Source organism: Homo sapiens, chromosome 5, assembly GCF_000001405.40.
Source record: "Homo sapiens chromosome 5, GRCh38.p14 Primary Assembly".
Taxonomy (NCBI): Eukaryota; Metazoa; Chordata; class Mammalia; order Primates; family Hominidae; genus Homo; species Homo sapiens.
This window is the reverse complement of record NC_000005.10, coordinates 178154433-178181966: the sequence shown is the minus strand read 5'-3', so window position 1 is coordinate 178181966 and position 27534 is coordinate 178154433. Positions and strand designations below refer to the sequence as shown.

General features: G+C 47.9%; 1 pseudogene, besides 5 other annotated features; it reads right to left on the bottom strand.

Moving 5' to 3' along the window:
* Positions 829 to 1369: an enhancer, noted in NCBI's record as "NANOG-H3K27ac-H3K4me1 hESC enhancer chr5:177607599-177608139 (GRCh37/hg19 assembly coordinates)". NCBI's record gives its function as "activates a minimal SCP1, AML or CMV promoter by ChIP-STARR-seq in primed H9 embryonic stem cells {active_cell/tissue: H9 hESC(primed)}" and the evidence as "EXISTENCE:reporter gene assay evidence [ECO:0000049][PMID:30033119]".
* Positions 1370 to 1912: an enhancer, noted in NCBI's record as "NANOG-H3K27ac hESC enhancer chr5:177607056-177607598 (GRCh37/hg19 assembly coordinates)". NCBI's record gives its function as "activates a minimal SCP1, AML or CMV promoter by ChIP-STARR-seq in primed H9 embryonic stem cells {active_cell/tissue: H9 hESC(primed)}" and the evidence as "EXISTENCE:reporter gene assay evidence [ECO:0000049][PMID:30033119]".
* NAXEP1 (NAXE pseudogene 1) lies at positions 15358 to 16292 on the bottom strand (annotated as a pseudogene).
* Positions 17484 to 17533: an enhancer, noted in NCBI's record as "active region_23741". NCBI's record gives its function as "activates an Ori minimal core promoter by ATAC-STARR-seq in GM12878 lymphoblastoid cells {active_cell/tissue: GM12878}" and the evidence as "EXISTENCE:reporter gene assay evidence [ECO:0000049][PMID:35858748]".
* Positions 17484 to 17997: a biological region, named in NCBI's record as "H3K4me1 hESC enhancer GRCh37_chr5:177590971-177591472".
* Positions 17496 to 17997: an enhancer, noted in NCBI's record as "H3K4me1 hESC enhancer chr5:177590971-177591472 (GRCh37/hg19 assembly coordinates)". NCBI's record gives its function as "activates a minimal SCP1, AML or CMV promoter by ChIP-STARR-seq in naive H9 embryonic stem cells {active_cell/tissue: H9 hESC(naive)}" and the evidence as "EXISTENCE:reporter gene assay evidence [ECO:0000049][PMID:30033119]".

Genomic DNA, 27534 nt, shown 5'->3' with positions numbered 1-27534 from the left:
GCCTCCGGGGTTCAATCGATTCTCCTGCCTTAGCTTCCCAAGTAGCTGGGATTACAGGCACCTGCCACCATGTCTGGCTAATTTTTGTGTTTTTAGTAGAGACGGGGTTTCACCATGTTGGTCAGGCTGGTCTCAAACTCCTGACCTCAGGTGATCTGCTGCCTCGGCCTCCCAAAGGGCCGGGATTACAGGCACAAGCCACAGCACCCGGCCAAAAAATGTTTTTTGAGACAGGATCTCGCTCTGTTGCCCAGGCTGGAGTGTAGTGGCAGAATCACAACTCACTGCAGCCTTGACCTCCCAGGCTCAAGCAATCCTCCCTCCTCAGCCTCTCAAGTAGCTAGGACTACAGATGCATGCCATCATGCCCAGCTTTTTTTTTTTTTTTTTTTTTTTTTTTTTTGTAGAGATGGTGGTGTTGCTGAGGCTGGTCTTGAACTCCTGGGCGCAAGTGATCCTCCCACCTTCACTTCCCAAAGTGCTGGGATAACAGGCATGAGCTACCGCACTCAGCCTAAAAATTTTACATAAATGGAATCATATAATATGTGGCCTTTTGTGTCTAGCTTCTTTCACTTGCCGTAGTGTTTTCAAGGTCAGCTACACTGCAGCATGTATTAGGGTCTCTTTCCTCTTCATTACCAAGGAATTTTCTATATACGTATATTTTTTTGCTGGTTCCCCCTCAGAGGATGAACCTTTTTTTTTTTTTTTTTTTTGAGTTTAAGTGTAGACGTTCAAGCAAGCGCAGTGGCTCGCACCTATAACCTCAACACTTTGCACTTTGACAGACTGAGGTGGGTAGATCATCCAAGGTCAGGAGTTCGAGACCAGCCTGACCAACATGGTGAAACCCTGTCTCTACTAAAAATACAAAAAATTAGCCGGGCATGGTGGTGGGCACCTGTAATCCCAGCTACTTGGGAGGCTGAGGCTGGAGAATTGCTTGACCCCGGGAAGTGGAGGTTGCAGTGAGCCAAAATTGCTCCATTGCACTCCAGCCTGGGTGACAGAGTGAGACTCTGTCTCAAAAAACAAAAACAAAAACAAAAACAAAAACAAAGAAACAGCGTGGAGGTTTAATAGGCAAAAGAAAGAGAAAGAAGAATAGTTCTCTCCTGCAGAGAGACAGGGGCCGCTGAGTGGCTCTTCTGGTTAGTGGTGAAATGCACCGGGTTTCATACACGAGCTTGAGGAGGTGGTGTCTGATTTACATAGGGCCCAAAGATTGGCTGGACCAGGTGTGACGTTTAGTGTCCACCCATAATGTTTTATTATGCAAATGAGCTTCCTACCTGGAGAGCACCATGTTGTCTGCTCCTTACTGTACACGTGGTTGACGAAGAAAAGGGAAGATGGAGCCTTCATGTTGAACATGCCTGACCCCCAGGTAGCCTTTTCCTGTTGGCACAGCTGCTGGCATGCCCCCAGAGGATGAACCTTGAAATAGTGCTGGGTCCTGGGTCTTCTGCCTTCTCTGTCTACATTCTGCCCCTAGGTGAGCTCATCCAGTTTCCTGGCATGAAATCCCACCTTTATGAAAATGATTCAAATCTCTTTCTCTAATCTGGTCTTTTCCCCTGAGCTCCACAAATAGTCTTCCTCTCCACTTCCTGATACATTGTTCTTAAAACCTGAGGAATCTCCAGAGAGGTAAGAGTGTCTTTGATATGCTAATGAGATGACTGCTGGCTGGGGGACCCCTAGGTAGCTTCAGGAGGTGGGCAGGTCACTGGAAAGACCAAGGCACATTTAGAGGACTAGGATTTTCAGCTCCACGCCCCACCCCTACCCCGCCCCTGCCCCGCCCCCAACCTCCCAGGAAGGGAGAGGGGCTGAAGGTTAAGCTGATCACCAGTGGCCAGTGATTTAATCAATCATGCCTCCATTAAAACCCCAAAAAACGGGATTCAGGGGGCTCCCAGCTAGCCGAACACGTGGAGGTTCCTGCAGGGTGGCACACTCCTTTCTCCATACCTCGCTCTATGCATCTCTTCTGTCTGGCCTGTGTGATATCCTTTATAGTAAATGGGTAAATGTAAGTGTTTGCCTGAGTTCTGGGAGCTTCTCTAGCAAATTAATAAAACCTGAGGAGGGGTCATGGGAACCCCAATGTATAGCCAATTGGTCAGAAGTTCCAAAGGTCTGGACTTGCAACTGACATCTGAAGTGGGGGACAGTCTTGTGGGACTGAGCCCTCAATGTGTGGGATCTGACACTAACGTCAGGTAAATAGTGTTAGAGTTAAACTGAATTAGAGGACACACAGCAGGTGTCTGACAGAGAATTGCTTGCTTGCTGTGTAGAGGGAAAATACACACATCTGGGGTCACAGGTGTATTGACTGTTGAGTGAGAGACTAGGAATAACACTTTGGCTTTTCCTATATCTCAACAACAATCCAATAGCACTTAAATATAATTTAAAATGATATTCAAGTGGACTTATTCCAGAAAGGCAAGGATGGTTTAATATTAGAAACTCAATATAATTCATTACATAAATAGATAAAATGAGAAAAGATACCAGTCTTATCAATACCTACTAACAAGGCAGTTGATAAATTTCAACTTTTTTTTTTTTGAGACAGAGTCTCTCTCTGTTGCCCAGGCTGGAATGCAGTGGCACGATCTCGGCTCACTGCAAGCTCTGCTTCCCAGGTTCACGCCATTCTCCTGCCTCAGCCTCCTAAGTAGCTGGGACTACAGGCATCTGCCACCACACCTGGCTAATTTTTTTGTATTTTTAGTAGAGACAGGGTTTCACCATGTTAGCCAGAATGGTCTCGATCTCCTGACCTCTTGATCTGCCTGCCTCAGCCTCCCAAAGTGCTGGGATTACAGGCGTGAGCCACCGCTCCCGGCCTTTTTTTTTTTTTTTTTTTTTTTTTGAGACAAAGTCTCGCTCTGTCACCCAGGCTGGAGTGCAGTGGCACAATCTTGGCTCACTGCAACCTCCGCCTCCGGGGTTCAAGTGATTCTTGTGCCTCAGCCTCCCAAGTAGCTAGGATTACAGGCGTGCGCCACCACGCCTGGCTAATTTTTGTATTTTTAGTAGAGACAGGGTTTCACCATGTTGGCCAGGCTGGTCTCAAACTCCTGACTTCAGGTGATCCACCCACCTCGGCCTCCCAAAGTGCTGGGATTACAGGCGTGAGCCATCGTCTTTTTTCTTTTTCTTTCTGTGTTTTGTTTTGGAGACAGGGTCTCCATATGTTGCCCAGGCTGGATTCGAACTCCTGGGCACAAGGAATCCTCCCATCTTGCCTCCCTGAGTAGCCAGGACTACAAGCACACATTGCCATACTTCATTGAAAACAATTTTAGAGACAGGGTCTCACTCTGTCACCCAGGCTGGAGTGCAGTTGTAACTGAGTACCTCTATCTAAGGAAGGATTTAATTATTTTTTCTCTCTTCTTTTCTTGTTGCCCCCATTCCCCGTTTCCTACTTAGCCTTTTAGAAATACAAATATAGCCTTCTACCTCCCCGTCACCAGACTCCTCCCAGGGAAAGTGTATCTAACTATGGGCTCCAAGACAGAACAAACCAAGGGTTAACAGTTGATTTGCAAACTGAAGCATGCCGGCTAAGGAACTCTCACCCTATAGCAGGCTGCCTGAGAGACCACCAGCTTGCCCACAAAGATGCCAGCAGTCACCAGCACAATGGCCCAGTAGGTAAGGCACCAAGTTAACACAGAGACCCCCCGACCTTGCTCACTTTCTCCCTTGCTTTTTAAAAGTGCCTGCTTTTTGCTCCAAAGGCCAAGTGGCACATTTAAAGGCAGGATGCTTGTGGTGCCTTTTCCCCTAAACTAGCTTCATAATACATTACTTTCTTTCTATCAGACCTCACTTTTGCTAATTGAACTCTGCACGCAGCAAGCAACTAACTCACCTGCTATTGGGTTACAGTTCTGGTGGCCCAGACTGGGAAGTGCTGTGCGCTCCGGGTAGGCCTGTGCTTGACCACCTGCTTTCACTACTAGGTGAGGCCTAGGGTCACCTGTGAGCACCAGCCGCTCGTGGCTAGCAGACCCCATGATGGGGATGTTAAGGAACTTCTCAGAAGCGGCCAAAAATGCTTTTGTTTTTGGGAAACCTCCCTTTTGCCTCCTGGCACAATGTTGGCTGCCTTCAGTGCTCCCCTGGTTCAAAGAAAGTGAACTTTCTTTGTTCACCTTTTTTGTGGGGTTGGGGGGAAGCCACCATCATTAGGAGCTGGTTAAGTTGGTTGGAGTGCACCTGACTGCCCTCTGCCTTGTTTTGGGTGTCACTGCTCTACTTACGATTTGGCTGGGCGGGGCGCAGTGGCTCACACCTGAAATCCCAGCACTTTGGGAGGCCAAGGCGGGCAGATCACCTAAGGTCAGCAGTTCGAGACCAGCCTGGCCAATATGGCAAAACCCCGCGTCTACTAAAAATACAAAAATTAGCCAGACGTGGTGGTGGGCGCCTGTGATTCCAGCTACTTGGGAGGCTGAGGCCAGAGAATCGCTTGAACCTGGGAGGCGGAGGTTGCAGTGAGCCAAGATCATGCCACTGCACTCCAGCCTGGGCAACAAGAGCGGAACTCCATCTCAAAAAAAATAAAAAAGAAAGATTTGGCTGTTAGTGATAACATTTGAGCATTTGCGTTCGTCTGCATGTGGGGCGCCAAGAGAGCTCTACTCGGATGGGACTCAGCAGTCCGCGGAGTCATTTGGAACTGCGGAGGGAAATTGAAGACCCCACCCAGCCCCTCTGATTGGACTCCTTTGGAAGTGCGCTGTTTGTTTGCACGTATGAATGTATGACTTTGTCTGTGGGCCGTGATCCCTTCTTCAACAAACAATAACAGTGTGGATAGCGACCCCACATTCTACAGTGGCTGGAGCGTTTCCTTTCGGTTGCTTTATCTTTTTTCCTTCCCCTCCTTTCTTTCTCTCACCCCACTTGTAAAACCTGGCTCCTATGTGGAAGCCAGCCAGGCTCTATCTTCCTCTATTTTGTTTTCTGCCTGCTTTATATGAGTGTGTATGTGTGTGTTTGTGTGTATGTACAGGCATTTTGTTTCGTGTTGTGGCCACAAGGTGCCAAATTGGCTTAAAGTTAAGAAGTACTCATAAATTAAGTAAAGTCTTTAAAAAATAAGCTGGCCTTAAAATTATTGGCAAAATAATATTAGAAATGTCTTAAGAATTGTCAACATACATTTTCGTTTGGATTCATTGATCAAGTGGTTTCATGTTGATCTCTGCCAGATGTTATTAGGTGTAAAAATTTTGCATAAAGCCAGGCGCGGTGGCTCACGCCTGTAATCCCAGCACTTTGGGAGGCTGAGGCGGGTGGATCGAGACCGTCCTGGCTAACATGGTGAAACCCCGTGTCTACTGAAAATACAAAAAATTAGCCGGGCGTGGTGGCGGGCGCCTGTAGTCCCAGCTACTCGGGAGCGCGAGGCAGGTGAATGGCGTGAACCTGGGAGGCAGAGCTTGCAGTGAGCCGAGATCGCACCACTACACTCCAGCCTGGGCAACAGAGTGAGACTCCATCTAAAAAAAAAAAAAGTTTGCATAAGAGTTATAAAACTATAATGCAAAATTTTGATCCAAACAGAATGATCTTTGTGAAATTTTTGATAAATAAGACATTTAATAAAAACAGGCTGGGCTCCTGCCTGTAATCTCAACACTTTGGGAGGCCAAGGTGGGAGGCTCACTTGAGCCCAGGAGTTCAAGACCAGCCTGGGCAACATAGTGAGACCCCTTCTCTAAAAAAAAGGAAAATAAAAAGAATAAAACAGCTAGGCCAGCCATGGTGGCTCATGCCTGTAATTCCAGCACTTTGGGAGGCCGAGGTAGGTGGATTACCTGAGGTCAGGAGCTCAAGAGCAGCCTGGCCAACATGGCGAAACCCCGTCTCTACTAGAAATGCAACAATTAACTGGGCGTGGTGGTGGGCACCTGTAATCCCAGCTACTTGAGAGGCTGAGAGAGGAGAATTGCTTGAATCCAGGAGGCGGAGGTTGCAGTGAGCCAAGATCATGCCACTGCACTCCAGCCTGGGCGACACAGCCAAACTCCATTTCAAAAATAATAATAATAATAATAATAATATCACTTAAGTCAAACATATGTTGTCAGAAAAATAGAAACTTTAGGCTGGGCGTGGTGGCTCATGTCTGTAATCCCAGTACTTTGGGAGGCCAAGGCAGGTGGATCACTTGTGGTCAGGAGTTGGAGACCAGCCTGGCCAATAGGGTGAAACCCCATCTCTACTAAAAATACAAAAATTAGCCGGGTGTGATGGCAGGCGTCTGTAATCCTAGTTAGTGGGGAGGCTGAGGCAGGAGAATCACTTGAGCCTGGGAAGCAGAGCTTGCAGTGAGCCAAGATCGCACCACTGCACTCCACCCTGGGCGACAGAGACTCCGTCTCAAAAAAAAAAAGTAAGATAGAAACATTAATACCTTTTAGGTCATGTGTTTAAAGATTCTTGATAAAGTAAAATAAAAACATCTTCAAAATTTATACATTTGGGCCAGACACAGTGGCTCATGCCTGTAATCCCAGCACTTTGGGAGGCCAAGGTGGGTGGATCACCTGAGGTCAGGAGTTCGAGACCAGCCTGACCAACATAGTGAAACCTTGTCTCTACTAAAAATGCAAAAATTAGCCAGACATGGTGGCACATACCTATAATCCCAGCTACTCAGCTACAGGAGGCTAAGCCAGAAGAATTGCTTGAACCTGCGAGGTGGAGGTTGCAGTGAGCCGAGATCGTGCCACTGCACTCCAGGCTGGGTGACAGAGCAAAACTCTGTCTCAAAAAAAAAAAAGCCAGGCACAGTGGCTCATGCCTGCAATCCCAGCACTTTGGGAGGCCGAGGCGAGGGGATCACCTGAGGTCAGGAGTTTCAGACCAGCCTGACAAACATGGAGAAACCCGGTTTCTACTAAAAATACATAATTAGCCGGGTGTGGTGGCGCATGCCTGTAATCCCAGCTACTCGGGAGGCTGAGGCAGGAGAATCACTTGAATCTGGGAGGCGGAGGTTGCGGTGAGCCGAGATCACGCCATTGCACTCCAGCCTGGGCAACAAGAGTGAAACTTTGTCTCAAAAAAATAAAAAATAAAAAATAAATGTATACATTTGGTCTAAATTAGGCAGGCCAGGTACTATCTGCTAGATACTTTTAAGGCCATAAACTGCTTCTATGACTTTTAATATACAACCTGATACATGGTTCACATTGCTTACCTACGAGGATTTTCATCAAAAAGTAAAAGCTGCTGAGAGTTCACATTGTAACACATACTTGAGACTACCAGAGAAACAGGTTTTACACGCAAGGTGCATAAGGAAGGTAGAATGTGTTTTTGGTAAAAGATTGTAAGATATGAAAATATATTTTTTGTTCAAGGGAATATGATTTTGTCTAATTCAGAAGTTCTTAAGGATTGTCTAATCTAAAAGAGTAATGGGACAAAATTGAAGATTTAGATAAGTCGTAAAGGATTTCTGAAGGATTGATCTTGTAAAGAAAATTCTGTGGGTTTGAGCAAGCTGGCTAAGATTTTGAGGAGATTATTTTGTTTTTCTGTAGGTTGAATATTGAAATAAAAGTACATTGGTCAGATATGGTGGCTCATGACTGTAATCCCAGCACTTTGGGAGGCCGAGGTGGGCGGATCACTTGAGATCAGGGTTCGAAACCAGCCTGGCCAACAGAATGAAACCCCGTCTCTACTAAAAATGGTATGGTGGCAGGTGCCTGTAATCCCAGCTACTCGGGAGGCTGAGGCAGGAAAATCACTTGAACCCAGGAGGCAGAGGTTGCAGTGAACCAAGATGGCACCATTGCATTCCAGCCTGGGTGACAGAGCGAGACTCCGTCTAAAAAAAAAAAAAAAAAAAAAAAAAAAAAAAAAAAAAAGAGTATATTGATGCAGGGCCAAAACTGGGCCCATGTGTCTGAATAACAAGGTGTTCTTGAATTGAGCTGCTGTTTAACAGAAACTTGTAAAGGGCTATAAAAGGCTTATGGAAATGTTACATTACGGTCAAACTAATTAGGATTGGATAGATTTGTCTATAAGGTTTTATTAAGAATCAGGTTTACAGGGCTGGGCATGGTGGCTCACGCCTGTAATCCCAGCACTTTGGGAAGCCAAGGCGGGTGGATCATGAAGTCAGGAGATCCAGACCATCTTGGCTAACACAGTGAAACCCCGTCTCTACTAAAAATACAAAAAACATTAGCCAGACTTGGTGGTGAGCGCCTGTAGTCCCAGCTACTCAGGAGGCTGAGGCAGGAGAATGACGTGAACCCGGGAGGCGGAGCTTGCAGTGAGCTGAGACCACGCTGCTGCACTCCAGCCTGGGTGACAGAGTGAGACTCCGTCTCAAAAAAAAAAATCAGGTTTAGCCAGGCGTGGTGGCTCACACCTGTAATAACAACACTTTGGGAGGCTGAGGCAGGTGGATCACCTGAGGTCAGGAGTTCGAGACCAGCCTGGCCAACATGGTGAAACCCCTTCTCTACTAAAAATACAAAAATTAACCAGGTGTGGTGGCAGGCGCCTGTAATCCTAGCTACTTGGGAGGCTGAGGCAGGAGAATCACTTGAACCCGGGAGGCGGAGGTTGCAGTGAGCCGAGATCACGCCATTGCACTCCAGCCTGGGGGACAAAAGTGAGACTTCATCTCAAAAAAAAACAAAACAAAAGAATCAGGTTTAACATTAATAGTACGCTAATGCAAAGGTGAAATTTGGCTTTCTCTTTTGAACAAGATTTTAGTGTAATATTAAAAGATAATAAAAGATTTTTGGCTGTATATGGTGGCTCACGCCTGTAATCCCAGCACTTTAGGAGGCCAAGGTGGGTGGATCACTTGAGGCCAGAAGTTCAAGACTAGCCTGGCCAACATGGCAAAACCTTGTCTCGAGTAAAAATACAAAAATTCGCCAGGTGTAATGGTGCATACTTGTAATCCCAGCTACTTGGGAAGCTGAGGCAGGAGAATCACTTGAACCCAGGAGATGGAGGTTGCAGTGAGCCAAGATCGTGTGACTGCATGCCAGCCTAGGTGACAGAGTGAGATTCTGTCTCAAAAAAAAAAAAAAAAAAAAGATAATGAAAGATTTTTGTTTGCCTTTTGAATAAATGACCAAAAAAAGGGGGGAAGAGAAAAAAGACAGATTCAGCTGGCCTCATGCTGTCTTTACTGGGTCCCATTCAGAACTGAGTATTCCCTCTGTCAGTGATTAAAGATGTTTCCCTTTTACTTATAATGACCTGGGATTCTATTTTGTAATATCAAGTGCTTAAACCTAGGCTGGGTGTAGGGGCTTACACCTATAATGCCAGCATTTGGGAGGCCGAGGTAGGCAGATCACTTGAGCTCACGAGTTCAAGACCAACATGGGGTTGGCTAGGTGTCAGTATTTGTAAGTATACTTAATTTATGGCAGTATAGTTATTTGCATAAGGTCAATACAAATCTGTTTTTTCTCTTTTTTTTTTTTTTTGTTTTTTGAGATGGAGTCTCGCTCTGTTGGCCCAGCTGGAGTGCAATGGCGCGATCTCGGCTCACCGCAACCTCTGCCTCCCAGGTTCAAGCGATTCTCCTGCCTCAGCCTCCCAAGTAGCTGGGACTACAGGCTCACGCCACCATGCCTGGCTAATTTTTGTATTTTTAGCAGAGATGGGGTTTCACTATCTTGGCCAGGCTGATGTCGAACTCCTGACATCGTGATCCACCCGCCTTGGCTTCCCAAAGTTCTCTGATTACAGGCGTGAGCCACCGTGCCTGGCCAAGAGTGTCACTTTCTGACAGGCCCAGGAACCCCAAGTTATCTTGGGACCTTGAGGAGAGGAATTCACCCAGTTCCTATAGCATTTGCAGGCACAGATAAATTCATGGCTGGACTCAAGGCTTTAAAAAGTCTTAATCTGAGATTCCTTATAAAACAAAGTTCCAGTAAAGCCAATTTTTAAAAAAGCCGATGTGACAAATAATTATTCTTGCTATACTTTATGCAAATACTCGGGCCAAGTATTGTAAGACTAAAACTTCTTTTTCTTTTTCTTTTTCTTTTTTTTTTTTTCTTGGAGACAGTCTTGCTCTGTCACCCAGGCTGGAGTGCAGTGACGCGATCTCTGCTCACTGCAAGCTCCGCCTCCCAGGTTCACGCCATTCTCCTGCCTCAGCCTCCCGAGTAACTGGGACTACAGGTGCCTGCCACCACTCCTGGCTAATTTTTTGTATTTTTAGTAGAGACAGGGTTTCACTGCGTTAGCCAGGATGGTCTCGATCTGCTGACCTCGTGATCCACCCACCTCAGCCTCCCAAAGTGCTGGGATTACAGGCGTGAGCCACCACGCCCGGCCCTAAAAGTTATTTTTCAAATAAATTTGTCCTACTATGATTTGTCTTTAGTAAAAATGGGAACTGGAGAGAGAAAAATTATGTTTCAGAAAAAACTATAGTATACCTGTTGTTAGATTCTAGTCTTGTCTACTGTTTTTGAGCTTTTATTATTTTCTGCAATTTGGACTAAATCCTGAATTCTTCCCAGGATACAATCCCAAATTAATCCTTCTAAATTTTTCTTCCATTTTTCTGAGTTGGACTCAGTGAAATTCCTACTATATTATTCTTTGCAATACAGGTGAGAAAAACGGGTCAGACTGCCACTGCCTTCCTCCTCTGTAATTAAGGATGCTTTGAGCCTAACATCTGGATAAACTGCCCAACATTAACCTTTGTTTTTCTTCTGTTTCCATGGAAACACCTCCTATTAAAAATCTGTTTGCCTTCATCACATGCAGAGGCCTAGCCCATCTCCAATGCCACCTTCTGGATGAGACACAGCTATTTAAGCTGATACTTTCTCAAAAACGAGACACTTTCATGAGGATTCATAGCTCTTTTTGTAGCCTGTCAAATATATATACCCAACCAATCTGTCATCATATCCACTTACAATTGGCAGTGGTGAACCTGCATGATAATTAAGAATTCAGGAAGTGCCTCGATAGCCATGTGAAACATGCACCAACAAATCAAAGGTGTGTCTGACCCCACACTGTTGCTAGACCAGCGGTTAGCATCCTGGTCCAGGTCAGAACCATCCTGGTGGCAAAGCTGCTTGTAACATTGGCCCTGATTGCAGAGATGGGCATATCCCTCTGTTGTAGGGTCCACTGCTGTTGCACCCCCTGTATAGGAATGCAAGACAGGCATTCTCTCAGAGGCTCTCAAGACCTCGCACTATATTGCTCCAACAAACATCATCTGCAAGCCCAAGTACTCATGAATATTTACAACTCCAAATACATCAGTTCCATTCTGATGCCCAAAGGCTATGCTCCCTCTCAGCAGGAAGTAGCCAGAATGAATATGGTGCCCAGATCCCATAGAAATGGAATGGAATTTGTCAGTGGGGAAATGTAACTGAGTACCCCCATTTTTCTAGTGGGTAGTTTAATTTTTCCTCTCTCTTCTTTTGTCTTTCCCCCGGTTGCCCACTTTCTACTTAGCCTTTTAGAAATGGAAATATAGGCTGGGTGCAGTGACTCACACCTGTAATCCCAGCACTTTGGGAGGCCAAAGCAGGCAGATCGCTTGAGGTCAGGAGTTCCAGACCAGCCTGGACAATATGGTGAAACCCCGTCTCTACTAAAAATACAAAAAGTAGCCGGGCGTGGTGGTTGGCGCCTGTAATCCTAGCTACTCAGGAGGCTGAGGCAGGAGAATCGCTTGAGCCTGGGAGGCGGAGGTTGCAGTGAGCCAAGATTGTGCCACTGCACTCCAGCCTGGGTGACAGAGGGAGACTCCATCTCAAAAACAAAACAAAGCAAAACAAAAAAACCCACAAATATAGCCTTCTACCTCCCTTTCACCAGTCTCCCTACGGGCAAGTTTATCTAACTGGACTCCAAGATGGAACTCTCAAGAGTTAACAGTTGATTTGCAAACTGAAGCATTCCTGCTAAGAAACTCTCACCCTAAAGAGGTTGCCTTGAGAGATACCAGCCTGCCCATGAAGATGCCAGCAGTCACCAGCTCTACTACTGGCAGATAAGGACCCCCTACCTTGCTCACTTCCTTCCATGCCTTTTAAAAGTTCCTGCTTTCTGCTCCAAAGGTGAAGTGGCATATTTAAAGGCAGGATGCCTGTGCCTCTTCCCCTAAGCTAGCTTTGGAATAAATCATCTTATTTCTACCAGATCCTGATCTCGTTAATTGGACTCTGCATATGGCAAGCAACTCACCTTCTGTTCAGTTACATAATGGTGTGATCATGGCTTACTGTAGCCTTGAACTGCTAGACTCACGCAATCCTTCCATCTCAGCCTCTCAAGTAGCTAGGATTTCAACATATATTTTCTGTATTAATCCGTTCTCACCCTGTACTATCTGAGACTGGGTAATTTATAAAGACAAGAGATTCAATAGGCTCACAGCTCTGCAGGCTGTACAGTAAGCATGGCTGAGGAGGCCTCAGGAAACTTATAATCATGGCAGAAGGCGAAGGGGAAGCAGGCACATCTCTACAGGGAGAACTACAAAACACTGCTGAAAGAAATCATACAGGACACAAACAAATGAAAACATTCCATGCCCATGAATTGGAAGAATCAATACCATTAAAATGGTCACACTGCCCAAAGCAATCTACAGATTCAGTGCTCTTCCTATCAAGCTACTAATGTCGTTTTCCACAGAACTAGAAAAAAAAACTATTTAAAAATTCATCTGGAACCAAAAAAGATCCCAAATAGCCAAAGCGATCCTAAGCAAAAAGAATAAAGCTGGAGGCTTCCCATTACCCAGCTTCAAACTATACTATAAGGCTCCAGTAACCAAAACAGCACAGTACTGGTACAAAAACAGACACATAGACCAATGGAACAGGACTGAGAGCCTAGATATAAAGCCACACACCTACAGCCATCTGATCTTTGACAAAGTCAACAAAAACAAGCAATAGGGAAAGGACTCCCTATTCAATAAATGGTGCTGGGATAGCTGGCTAGCCATATGCCAAAGATCGAAACTGGACCAACTTTCTTTCACCATATACAAAAATTAACTCAAGGCTGGGCACAGTGGCTCATGCCTGTAATCCCAACACTTTGGGAGGCTGAGGTGGGCAGATCACTTGAGGTCAGGAGTTCGAGACCAGCCTGGCCAACATGGTGAAACCCTGTCTCTACGAAAAAATACAAAAAATTAGCCGGGCATGGTGATGTGTGCCTGTAATCCCAGCTACTCGGGAGGCTGAGGCAGGAGAATCACTTGAACCCGGGAGGCAGAGGTTGCAGTGAGCTGACATTGCGCCATTGCACTCCAGCCTGGGCGACAGAGCAAGACTCTCTCTCAATAATAATAATAATAATAACAACAACTCAAGATGGGTTAAAGATTTAAATGTAAGACCTGAAACTATAAGAATCCAAGAAGAAAACCTAGGAAACACCATTCTGGACATCAGCCTTGGGAAAGAATTTATGAGTAAGTCCTCAAAAGCAATGGAAACAAAAACAAAATTTGACAAGTGGGGCCTAATTAAACTAAAGAGCTTCTGCACAGCAATAGTAACTATCAACAGCATAAATAGACAACCTACAGAATAGAAGAAAATATTTGCAAACTATGCACCTGACAAAGGTCTAATATCCAAAATATATAAGGAACTTAAACAATTGAACAAGCAAAAACCAAATAATCCCATTTAAAAATGGGTAAAAGACATGAACAGACATTTCTCAAAAGAAGATGCCAACAAGTAGCCAACCAGCATATGAAAAAATGTTCAGCATCACTAATCATTAGAGAAATGTAAATCAAAACCACAATGAGATACTACCTCACACCAGTCAGAACAGCTATTATTAAAAAGTCAAAAACAGCAGCTGCTGGCAACGCTGTGGAGAAAAGAGAATGCTAATACACTGCTGCTGGGAATGTCAATTCATCCCACCACTGTGTAAAGTAGTTAGGAGGTTTCTCAAAGAACTTGAAACAGAGCTACAGGCCGGGCGTGGTGGCTCACGCCTGTAATCACAGCACTCTGGGAGGCCGAGGCAGGTGGATCACCTGAGGTCGGGAGTTCGAGACTAGCCTGGCCAACATGGAGAAACCCTATCTCTACTAAAAATACAAAATTAGCTGGGCGTGATGGCACATGCCTGTAATCCCAGCTACTCGGGAGGCTGAGGCAGGAGAATCGCTTGAACCTGGGAGGTGGAGATTGAGGGGAGCTGAGATTGTGCCACTGCACTCCAGCCTGGTCAACAAAAGCAAAACTCTGTCTCCAAAAACAAAAACAAAAACAAACAAACAAAAAACAGAGCCACCATTTGACCCAGCAATCCCATTAGTAGATATATATTAAAAATAAAACAGATTTTTCTACCAAAAAGACACAGGCACATGTATGTTTATCACAGCAATGTTCACAACAGCAAAGATACAGAATCAACCTAGGTGCCCATCAGTGGTGGATTGGATAAAGAAAATGAAGTTCAACTTGAGGGGGAGAAAAAGAGAAAAAAAAATAAAACAAAGATATGAAACATTTAATAAGTAAAAATAATTTTTTTTAATGTGGCACACATTCACCACAGAATACTGTGCAGCCAAAAAACCCGAAATAATGTCCTTGCAGCAACATGGATGCAGCTGGAGGCCATCATCCTAAGCCAATTAATACAGGAACAGAAAACCAAACACTGCAGGTTCTCACTTAGAAGTAGGAGCTAGGCCGGGCGCTGTGGTTCACGCCTGTAATCCCAGCATTTTGGGAGGCCGAGACAGGTGGATCACCTAAGGTCAGGAGTTCAAGACCAGCCTGGCCAACGTGAGAGGAGAGAAAGAGGATGAGTAGTGAAAAACTAACTGTTGGGTACTATACTGAGTACCTGGGCGATGGGAACAATTATACCCCAAACCTCAGCATCACGCAATACACCCCGGTAACAAACTGCACATGGCCTCTCTGAATCCAAAATAAAAACTGAAATTACTTTTAAAAAATGTTAAAAAGCAAAATGCAGAATGCTGTGCGTAGTATGCTACTGTTTCTGTGAAGAGAGGATGGACACTTACTAAGAAAAAGGTGGAAAAAAGGGGAAGGATAGCATTGTGTACTGCATATACATACAGAATATTTGCAGAATGCAGTGTTGGAAGTGGATCCCATCGGTTGCTTCTTTTTAATTTTTTTCTTTTTGTTCGAGATGGAGTCTTGCTCTGTCAACTAGGCTGGTGTGCAATGGCGTGATGCTTTTCTTTTTTAATTTACATTTTTTCCTTTCTCTCGCTTTCTTTCTCTCTCTCTCTTTCTTTCTTTCTTTTCTGAGGGGGCGATTTTAAGTCTTTATTGGGAAGAATACCCACCCACCTTCCCTCACTGCAGACCATACACACACTTGGTGTCAGGGTAGGGGCAGGTTCAGGTGCTACTTCTTTTCCAGAGCAGGTGGCACAAAACGACCCCCCAGGTAATGGTGGCGACCGGGTAACCTGGGTTGCAGACTTTTTGGGTGCTGTGAGGGAGATGAGCAAGTCTGGCTGGATCCCTCCAGAGTTTCCCTTCTCCACATCCCATCCAGAGGGAATGTTGATGCCGGCAGTGGGCACGGTGAATCCCTTCAGGACACTCAGGATGCTGTGGAACGTTCCCGAACATCACCCTCGAAGCTGAAGCCGAAGATGGCATCCACCACCAGCTCATACAGCTCAATCATCACGGGCTCTGAGCGCATTTCCCCAAGGAAAGGGATGTCCATTTTCTGACACGGGGTCACCAACGCAATGAAGAGGGGCTGGTTGGGCCTTTTGGGGTAATAGATGGTTGGCCGGTTAGCCAAAGAGTTTGAGGTGCGCAGCACAGACCAGACCATCTCCTCCATTATTCCCCGGGCCACAGATGACCAGGACAGTAGGGGAGCTCCTGGACATGGACGTGGGGGAATATGCCTTGGCGATGGCTGCGGCGCAGCTCAGCCCGGCCAGCTCCACAAGTCGGGCCACGCTGAACTAGTACTCGTTGAATAGCTCCTGGTCCACGACCTGGGCTTCCTCCTGGCTCAGGTGCTTCACCGCTATGCTCGCCATGACCGCTGAGTCCCAGCGGCCACCCGAGTTCAGCCGCTGCCGTCCCCACGAGGTGGGTCCCGAGCGGCAGGCGCTGGTCTGGCTTTTGATTCGCGCAGGCGCGAGCCGCAACCAGCAGCCTGAGCCCCGGCAGCGCCCGCAGGCCGGACATCCCGCTCGCACGGCGCGCCCCCGGCCCAGCCCGACGCGACCCCGGCGCATCATTTTTTCTTTCTTTAATGTTGTTGTTGTTGTTGAGACAGAAGTCTTGTTTGTTGCCCAGGCTGCTGATAAACTTCCGGGCTCAAGTGATCCTCCCGCCTCGGCCTTCCAAAACACTGGGATTACAGGCGTGAGCCACGGCCCCCAGCCTCAGCTGTTGCATCTGATTGGAAAAACCTGCAGGCACCACCACCGTCCAGATCAGCGGTCAGCGAACTACGACCCGCGGACCCATGCTTGCTTGCTTGCTTGTTTGTTTGTTTTGAGACAGTCTCGCACTGTCACCCAGGCTGATGTGCAGTGACGCGATCTCAGCTCGCTGCAACCTCCGCCTCCCTGGTTCAAGCGATTCTCCTGCCTCAGCCTCCCGCAGGCGCCCACCACCACGCTCGGCTAATTTTTTGTATTTTTAGTAGAGACGGGGTTCCACTATGTTGGCCAGGCTGGTCTGGATCTCCTGACCTCGTGATCCGCCCGCCTCAGCCTCCCAAAGTGCTGGGATTACAGGCATGAGCCACCACACCCGGCCCCCATGTTTTTATAAATAAAGTTTTATTGGTACATAGCCACCCCATTTGATTACATATTGTCTCTGGGTGCTCTCCTACTATAACAGCAGGGCTGAGTGGTTACGATAGAGACTGTATAGTCCACGGAGCCTAAAATGTTTACTGTTTGGCCCTTAACAGAGAACATCTTCTGACCTCGATCTAAATCAGTTGGACTGACACTCAAGCCCTTTGCCTAGCAGGTCCCAAACACCCTCAGCCCAGTTCTCCACGCCCCCCGCAATCCCCCATTCTGGCCTGGCTGCTCTCCTGTCTTTCACGAAGAAAGAGAAAAACAGATGCCTCCTATCTCACGAGAAAAGGAAGGCCAGCAGCGCCAGGTGTCTGCTGCTGGAGAATAAGCACAGGTCAGAAGGGGGGAGGCGCACTGCTCCCTGCCTCTCCTCCTCTCCATGGCCAACGGGAAGCCAGAGGCTGAACAGGTGCCAAGGAATGAATGAGGGAGGGCTGCCTGGGTTCCCCTCCCACCTCGGAACCTGATTTGCTCAGGGGTCTGGGCCTGGCCTCCGTCATTCCACTCCGTTGACGGGAGGGTGAATCAATGGGCTCTAAAGACCCTTCACTAGAAGCGCGCTCACTTTCTAGGGCAGGAGCATGGCCTTTCTGCCTCCTGCGAAGCAAGAGGCCAGATGTCAGACGAGCACGGTCATAAGAAGTACTGACTCCCAGAACCAAAGCCCGCCCTGACTGACTGCTGGCGATTCCACACTGCTCCACGAGGTGGCGGTACAGGCGAGGGAGAGGAGGCCACAGCGGGCTCCCGGGCGACGGGGCCACGCACGGTGGCTCAGGCAGCACAATGCCACCTGCTTTCCCCGCCCGTCACGCCTCAGTGGGAGGTGGAGGCCTTTCTGCCACAACTCACAGATCTCCATTCCCATTTCCACCGTAGGTCTCCCGGTTCCAGCTGCGGCCGCACTTACCGTACATGCACTTGGCTCTCCCAACAGCCTGATGAGGTAGGGACCCTTATTATCCATCCCGAGCCCCCTGGACCTCTTTCCTCTGCCAGCCTGCCCTGCCTCCCCTCTACATTGGTTTTCTTTTCTTTTCCCTCCCTCCCTCCCTTTCTCTTTCTTTTTCTTTCTTTCTCTCTTCTCTCCTTTCTCTTCTTCCTTCCTTCTTTTCTGTCCTCTCCTCTCGTTTCTTCTCTTTTTTCTTTTACTTTCCTAGCCTGCCCTGCCTCACCCTCTACATTGGTCTTCCTTTCTTTTCTTTTTTCTCTTTTCCCTCCCTTCCTTCCTTCCTTTTTTAAAATTTTCTTTCCCAGCCTGCCCTGCCTCGCCCTCTATATTGGTTTTCTTTTCTTTCTTTTTCTTTCTCCTTCCTTCTTTTTTTTTTTTTTCTTTGAGATGGAGCGTCGCTCTGTCACCAGGCTGGAGTGCAGTGGCACAATCTCGGCTCACTGCAACCTCTGCCTCCCAGGTTCAAGTGATTCTCCTGCCTCAGCCTCCCAAGTAGCTGGGATTACAGGGGCCCACTACCACGCCCAGCTAATTTTTGTATTTTTGGTAGAGACAGGGTTTCACCATGTTGGCCAGGCTGGTCTTGAACTTCTGGCCTCAAGTGATCCACCTGCCTCAGCCTCCCAAAGAGCTGGGATTACAAGCGTGAGCCACCATGCCAGGTCCCTGTGTTGGTTTTCACTGAAGTGAATGTGTCCAGAAATCTGGTGCATTCACTCCCTATTGCTGCTGTAACAACTGACCACTCAGTGGCTGAGAACGACACCCATGTATTATCTCACGGTCCTGTACATCGGAAGTCCTGGAGGTCAGGGCTTGGGCTGAAGGTTCCCATCAAAGTCTCCACCTGCCGTGGTATCTCATCTGGTGCTTGGAATCCCCTTCCAGGCTCACTCTTCTTTTTCTTTTTTCTTTTTTTTTTGAGACAGAGTCTCGCTCTGTTGCCCAGGCTGGAGTGCAGTGGAGCAATCTCGGCTCACCGCAAGCTCCACCTCCCAGGTTCACGCCATTCTCCTGCGTCAGCCTCCCGAGTAGCTGGGACTACAGGCACCCGCCACCACGCCCGGCTAATTTTTTGGATTTTTAGTAGAGACGGGGTTTCACCGTGTTAGCCAGGATGGTCTCGATCTCCTGACCTCATGATCCACCCACCTCGGCCTCCCAAAGTGCTGGGATTACAGGCATGAGCCAGCGCACCTGGCCTCAGGCTCACTCTTCTTGCTGGAAGAGTTCAGTTCCTGGTGATTGTAGGACCTGGGTCCCGCCTCCTGTCATCCAGCCACTCTCAGCTCCTGCGGTTACTTTTTGGTCCTCACACATGGTGCCTCCATCCTCACAGCCGGGAGCAGCGTTCAGATCCTGCTTGCTCTTGGGATCTCCGTCATTGCCCCTCTGCCGTCAGTCAGAGAAAGCTCTCTGCTTTAAGGTCTCAAGGGATTACAGTGGGCTAACCCGGATAATCCCGGATTCTCTCCCTGTCTGAGTCGACTGTGCCAAATAAGAAGACATGCAGGAGTGACAGCTCCTCATACTCACAGGTTCTGGGCAGGGCATCTCTGGGGGGCTATCTTAGAAATTCTGTCTGCCTGACCCATCCTCTTGTTCCACTGCCACACCCCATATCTCAAAGTCCTTTTGTGTCCTGTATATCGCTCTCACCAACTCCCTTAGCTCAGCCTCACGGCCATCATCCTGGATCAGGCCACACTCGCAGCCCCCTTGCTGCTCTCATTCTTCCCCCTCTTCCCCAGGCATCCTGCCCACCCTCTGGTTCCCCTGCTGTAGCCTAGATGCTCTTCCAAAAACACAAAGCTAACCATGCTACTCCCCAATTTAAAATCCTGCAGTGGTACCCCAGGAGCTTCAGGGGATGAACAAAAGTCCGTAAAAGTCATTTGTTCAAATGATTTCTGAGGACGGACTCTCCACCAGGCACCTCCTGTAGCTTCCTGCCTTGTAGGATGGGGAGATTCAACCCGGAAGAAGGCTGCAGTAAGCACTAAGGGTGGCTGTTCCAGCCGGCCCTGCCCTCGTTCCCTCCTCACCCCTAGGTCTTCCCAGTACCCTCCTCCTCTACCCTGTCACATCCAACAAATCCTGTAGGGAGCACTTTTCCCAGATCCCTTCCTAGATTCCAGTTCTATATTGCTCCCACGGCTGGTACTTCCCGTGCGGAACCCTTGGGAGACCAGGACTCTCTGTCTAGCTCACCATGGCTCCCCCGATGCCCAGCACAGTGTTGGGCACATAAAGACGCTCAGTAAGTTGTTCTGAATGAAGGGAAAGTCCAATATGCACGGTGCAGACCCAAACCTCGTGAGATTCCCTTTACTCCTAATAATTGTCTGCCTTGTGCCAGTGATTTTTCAGTGAACCTTTAGGGGCCAATGGTCCTGGCCCCCACATCTCCATGGCACAAAGTCTGGAAGGAGGCTGGGTGCCGTGGCTCATACCTGTAGCCCAGCACTTTGGGAGGCTGAGGTGGCAGATCACTTGAGGTCAGGAGTTCAAGACCAGCCTAGGCAACATGGTGAAGCCCCATCTCTACTAAAAATACAAAAATTAGTCGGGCATGGTGGCATGCCTGTAGTCCCAGCTACTTGGGAGGCTGAAGCACGAGAATCACTTGAACCCGGGAGGCAGGGGTTGCAGTGAACCGAGATAGTGGCACCGCACTCCAGCCTGGGTGACAGAGGGAGACTGTCTCAAAAACAAACAACAAGAAAAAACAAAGTCTGGGCCGGGCGCGGTGGCACATGCCTGTAATCCCAGCACTTTGAGAGGCCAAGGCAGGCAGATCATGAGGTCAGGAGATCGAGACCACCCTGGCTAACATGGCGAAACCCTGTCTCTACTAAAAATACACAAAATTATCCAGGCGTGGTGGCAGGCGCCTGTATTCCCAGCTGCTCGGGAGGCTGAGGCAGGATAATGGCATGAACCCGGGAGGCAGAGCTTGCAGTGAGCCGAGATCATGCCACTGCACTCCAGCCTGGGCGACAGAGCGAGACTCCATCTCAAAAAATAATAATAATAATAAAACAAAGTCTGGCAGGAACATCAATGTCAATTCCAAGGGGCCTGGAAGAAGGGAAGGCATTTTCTGGGCACAAGAACAAAAAATGTGACCATCAAGAACTTACTCAAGAGGCCAGGCATGGTGGCTCCCGCCTGTAAGGGAGGCCGAGGTGGGTGGATCACTTGAGGTCAGGAGTCCTAGGCCAACCTGGTCAACATGGTGAAACCCCGTCTCTACTAAAAATACAAAAATTAGCCGGGCGGGGTGGTGGCGCATGCCTGTAATCCCAGCTACTTGGGAGGCTGAGGCAGGAGAATTGCTTGAACCCAGGAGGTCGAGGTTGCAGTGAGTCGAGATCGCACCACTGCACTCCAGCCTGGGCAACAGACCAAGACTCCATTTCAAAAAAAAAAAAAAAAAAAAAAAAAAAGAACTACTTGCTCAAGAGTCCTGTTAAGCAGTGGGTAGCAGCATGGTGCTGTGGAGAAGGGCAGGTTTTGTGCACACGTGGACATACACACGCCCCCAACAATGCCTGCCAGCCTGTAGCAAAACAGCAAAGAAAATGAGAGGGAAAGGCCCCAACAGAGGAAACATTTTTCTGACTTTTGAGACTATGGAAAGTGAATAGAAGAAGGCAATAGATGAAACAGGTGTTGACAGCCACAGCCCAGGAAAGGCTGCAAGGGGACTGCAGGGGAGACCAAGCCACCAGGCACCCCAGGACCAGGAAGCGGGAAGTGAGAGTCAGGACTAAAACAGCTGCTGCACTTGGCATCCGCCACCACCTCCTGTTCCTCTAGAAACCCCCAGACAAAAAATTCATCTCTGGGTCCGGGGGTGGTGGCTCATGCCTATAATCCAAGCGCTTTGGGAGGCCAAGGCAGGAGGATTGCTTGAGGTCAGGAGTTTGAGGCCAGCGTGGGCAACATGGCGAGACTGTCTCTACAAAAAATATAAAAACATGGCAAGACTCTGTCTCTACAAAAAATATAAAAATTAGCCAGGCGTGGTGGCGCATGCCTGTGGTCCCAGCTACTCAGGAGGCTGAAGTGGGAGGATCGCTTGAGCCTGGGATGCAGAGTTTGCAGTGAGCTGTACTTGCACCATTGTACTCCAGCCTGGGCGACAGAGCAAGACTCCATCTCAAAAACGACAAAAACAAAAACAAAACCAAATCTGTCTGGGAAAAGCTCAGACTTTGGTGGCCCAGAGTAAAGCCTGTCTCCAACTGCAACTGGGGATCTGTGGCTGATAATGGATTCAATAGCCACCCCCTCCCCCCAGCCAGAGCCTACAGGTGCCATCCCTCTTGTGGCACACCCTCATGTCAACAATAGACTTTGGGTGGTAATGATGTGACAATGTAAGTTGATCAATTGTAACAAATGTACCCTCTGGTGGAAGATGACAATGGGAGAGGAGGTGCATGCGTGGGGCAGGGGGCAGATAGGAAATCTCTCTACCTCCCTCTCAATGTTGCTATGAGCCTAAGACTCCTCTGTTGAGGGTAAAGCAACTCCATCTTGGATGCTAATCTACTATGTTGGCTTCTGATTAACTCCTGTTCCAGGAAGGCCTCTAAGATTTCCAGTTTATCTATTGTTCCTTGTATAGGAGACTGTACTTACCATCAATCCTACCATTAAATCAAACAGCCTTGATGTTATCATACTTTGCTTGTCCACACATCCCTTCTGTATAACCCTTTCCCTTGGTACAGAAGCTGTGGACCTGGGGATACTGCTGCGGGGATCTACGATTTTGTCTCCCCACCACTGGAGACACAGACGTGGCTTCTGTTCATAAGTCCCTTTGAAATGTTTCTTTCCAAGAAACTGGATTTGTCAGATAACAACGTGTTAAAAATGTAAAGATATTGGAACGTTTATACACTGTTGGTAGGAATGGGGCAGCCACTTTGGAAAACAGCCTAGCCTTTCCCCAAAAAGTTAAACATAGAGTTACCATTTGACCCAGCCATTTTCATTCTGGGTATCTACCCAAGGGAACGGCAAAATATACCCACACAAACATGTGTCCACGAATGTTCATATCAGCATTATTCACAATAGTCAAAAGGTGGAAACAACCCAATCCATGAACTGATGAATGGATAAAATGTGGTATATCTATACAATGGAATATTATTTAATAATAAAGCACTAGGTTGGGCATGGTGGCTCACGCCTGTAATCCCAGCACTTTGGGAGGCAGAGGTGGGCAGATCATGAGGTCAGGAGTTCGAGACCAGCCTGGCCAACATGGTGAAACCCCGTCTCTACTAAACATGCAAAAATTGGCTGGGCGTGGTGGCACGTGCCTGTAATCTCAGCTACTAGAGAGGCTGAGGCAGGAGAATTGCTGGAACCCAGGAGGCAGAGGTTGCAGTGAGCCGAGATCATGCCATTGCACTCCAGCCTGGCCAACAGAGCGAGACTCCATCTCAAAATAATAATAATAATAAAGCACTAATAAATGCTGTAACATGGACAAACCTTGAAAATGTTATTCTAAGTAAAAGAAGCTAGTCACAAAAACTGCATATTACATGATTCTATTTCTATGAAATGTCCAGAACACAGAAATGGATAGAGACAGAACGTAGATTAGTGGTAGCTTAGAGTTCAGGAAAGATAAGGAGGTCAGAGGGTGACAGCTAAAGGGTACAGCGTTTCTTTTTTCTTTTCTTTTTTTTTTTTTTTTTTTGAGGTGGGGGTCTCACTGTGTCACCCTGGCTGGAGTTCATTGGCACAATCACAGCTCCCCACAGCCTTGATCTCCCAGACTCAGGTGGTCCTCCTGCAGGTTAGTCTCGATCTCCTGGGCTCAAGAGATTCTCTCCTGGCCGGGCGCGGTGGCTCACGCCTGTAATCCTAGCACTTTGGGAGGCCGAGGCGGGTGGATCACGAGGTCAGGAGATCGAGACCATCCTGGCTAACACAGTGAAACCCCGTCTCTACTAAAAATACAAAAAATTAGCCAGGCGTGGTGGCGGGTGCCTGTAGTCCCAGCTACTCAAGAGGCTGAGGCAGGAGAATGGCGTGAACCCGGGAGGCGGAGCTTGCAGTGAGCTGAGATCGTGCCACTGCACTCCAACCTGGGTGACAGAGCAAGACTCCGTCTCAAAATAAATAAATAAATAAATAAATAAATAAATAAATAAATAAATCCTCTCCAATTTTTTAAAAGATGGACCTTAGTCCATCTAGATCTAACTTTCTCACTTTATGGTGAAGCACTGACGCCCAGAGAGGCTAAATGACTTGCCTAAAGTCATTTGTCATTTAGAGCTCTGGACCAGTGTCCATTAATTTTTATGTTATCAGCCACTGTACACTGCTTAAAGTAAACTCAGCTGGGCACAGTAGCTCACACCTGTAATCCCAGCACTTTGGGAGTTCGAGGTAGGCAGATCACGTGAGGTCAGGAGTTTGAGACCAGCCTGGCCAACATGGTGAACCTCTGTCTCTACTAAAATACAAAAGTTAGCCAGGTGTGGTGGTGCATGCCTGTAATCCCAGCTACTTGGGAGGCTGAGGCATGAGACTCGCTTGAACCCGGGAGGCAGAGGTTGCAGTGAGCCGAGATTGCGCTACTGCACTCCAGCTGGGGCAACAGAGCGAGACTCCATCTCAAAAAAAAAAGAAAAAAGAAACAAAAAAGTAAGCTCAAATAGCCATTCCAACAAAATCCATAAAGTAATAAAGTCATGCAAAACAACCTGGGTTCAGAACAGATTTCTGAGTCTGGCTTTAGAAATACACAATGTGTTGGCTGGGCGCAGTGGCTCACACCTGTAATCCCAGCACTTTGGGAGGCCCAGGCAGGCAGATCACAAGGTCAGAGATCGAGACCATCCTGAATAACACAGTGAAACCCCGTCTCTACTCAAAATACAAAAATTAGCTGGGCGTGGCCGGGCGCAGTGGCTCACACCTGTAATCCCAGCACTTTGGGAGGCCGAGGCGGGTGGATCATGAGGTCATGAGTTCAAGACCAGCTTGGCCAAGATGGTGAAACCCCGTCTCTACTAAAACTACAAAAATTAGCTGGGTGCAGTGGCAGGCGTCTGTAATCCCAGCTACTCGGGAGGCTGAGGCAGGAGAATCGCTTGAACCCGGGTGGTGGAGGTTGTGGTGAGCCAAGATCGTGCCACTGCACTCCAGCCTGGGCGACAGAGTGAGACTCTGTCTCAAACAAACAAACAAACCAACAAAAATTAGCTAGGTGTAGTGGCAGGCACCAGTAGTCCCAGCTACTCGGGAGGCTGAGGCAGGAGAATGGCGTGATTCCAGGAGGCAGAGCTTGCAGTGAGCCAAGATGGGGCCACTATACTCCAGCCTGGGTGACAGAGCGAGACTCCGTCTCAAAAAAAAAAAAAGATAAGAAATACACAGTGTGTTAACAACAAAAAAAGAAAACAGGCCAGGTGCGGTGGCTTACATCTGTAATCCCAACACTTTGGGAGGCCAAGGCGAGTGGATCACTTGAGGTCAGGAGTTCGAGGCCAGCCTGGCCAACATGGTAAAACCCTATCTCTCCTAAAAGTACAAAAATTAGCTGGGCATGGTGGCGGGTGCCTGTAATCCCAGCTACTTGGGAGGCTGAGGCAGTAGGATCACTTGAATCTGGGAGGCAGATATTGCAGTGAGCTGAGATCATGCCACAGCCTGGGTGACAAAGGGAGACTCTGTCTTAAAAAAAAAAGGGGGCCGGGCGCGGTGGCTCATGCCTGTAATCCCAGCACTTTGGGAGGCCGAGGCGGGCAGAACATGAGGTCAGGAGATCGAGACCATCCTGGCTAACACGGTGAAACCCTAGTGAAACCCCGTCTCTACTAAAAATACAAAAAATTAGCCGGATGTGGTGGTGGGCACCTGTAGTCCCAGCTACTTGGCAGGCTGAGGCAGGAGAATGGCGTGAACCTGGGAGGCGGAGCTTGCAGTGAGCCGAGATGGTGCCACTGCACTCCAGCCTGGGCCAAAGTGCGAGACTCCATCTCAAAAAAAAAAAAAAGAAAAAAAAAGAAAAAGAAAACACTGTGGTTTTCTGAAGACATATTTGTTCTCAGCACTTCATTGTCTTATGGCTCAAAATGCAGACACGTGTGACCTGGGCCAAGCTGAGGTTCCTACACTTTCACTATTTACGTATCCTTTTGAGCTGAAGTCAAATGTCAAATCACAGGTATGGGTAAAGTCTGGGCTTGGAGACAAGTGGACCTGGGTTCAAATCCAGCTTTGTGTGAGCTGTACCAAACTATTCATCTTTATGTGTGTCAGTAAATTGTGAATATAAAGTTATATATTCCTGGTAAAAGGATGGTAAAGTCTTTACCTTTACCATAGAGGTATTTTTTGGTGAGCACTGAATGAGATATTGTATATAATATGCTCGCCACATAAATGTTAACTTTCTTTTTCCTTCCATGTAAGAGCTGAAGGGACTTCACAACCGAGGCTCTGAGTGAGGTCAGTCAAGCGAGCCCATTTGTTTGAATTTGTTTGAACTGGGTTCTCAGGAGTGAAATTCTCCATCACTCTGCTGGACAGAGTGATTTTTAGTAGAGACGGGGGTTTCACCGTGTTAGCCAGGATGGTCTCGATCTCCTGACCTCATGATCTGCCCGCCTCGGCCTCCCAAAGTGCTGGGATTACAGGCACCGCGCCCAGCCTATTTGTTTTTATTTAATGCAAAACAAAATTTATTGCACTTTAGTTCAGAGTTACAAGGTTTTTGTTGTTGTTGTTTTGTTTTAGAGACAAGATTTTCCTGGGTGGCCCAGACTGGAGTGCAGTGGCTATTCACAGGTGCAGTCATGGCTCACTGAAGCCTCTAACTTCTGGGCTCAAGCGAGCCCCCTCTCAGCCTCCCGGGTAGCTGGAACCACAGGCACGAGTCACCACACCCGGGAAAGGCCAATTTTTAAGTTGGTTTAACTGACCTGTGTTCCCACCCACAACTACCGGAACACTTCTAAGTTTCTACTTACTGGCCTGTTCCAGCAACACAAAAATGGCAGGCCTGCCACATCAGGATCAAAGGTAATTAGTATTACAAATTAGTAATTTGCAGCGATTATCTAATTAATATCCATCCAGAGTTCCAAAATATAGTGGAAGAGGCTAATCAGAGATACCAAGATCCACTGGATCTCGGCCTGCCACCGCCCCCCACGCCCTGGCAGCTCTGTCCCTTTACCTTCTACAGACCCGTCCAAAGGGTAGCTCCTCATAGCTCTCACCCTGCACGGCAGGGAGCTCAGTCCCCAAAGCCTTCCCTCCGCTGTTCCCGGCTTCGCTGGAGCCGTCCTTCCCTCAGCCCCGGCTGGCTTCTCGGCTAGGCCCTCTGCATGTGTAGCGTCAGGCAATGGTAAGAACTGCGGGAAAATAGCGGGTGAAGGGATGCTGGTTTGGAGAGAGAGGGGACGGCAATTTTAGATAAAATCACCAGGGAAACCTCTCCCATGGGAAACACTGAAACGGAACCCTGCGGGATGAGAGTGAGCCACACGCTATCTGTGGAAAAGCGGTGCAGACGCAGGTCAGTGGGGTCATCCCTTGCTCTGTATCTTTCACACCTGCGCAGCCGGGTCCAGGGGTCAGAAAACAAAGAAAAATTATGCAAGAAAGGAGGCAGCCTTAGGCCGGGCGCGGTGGCTCA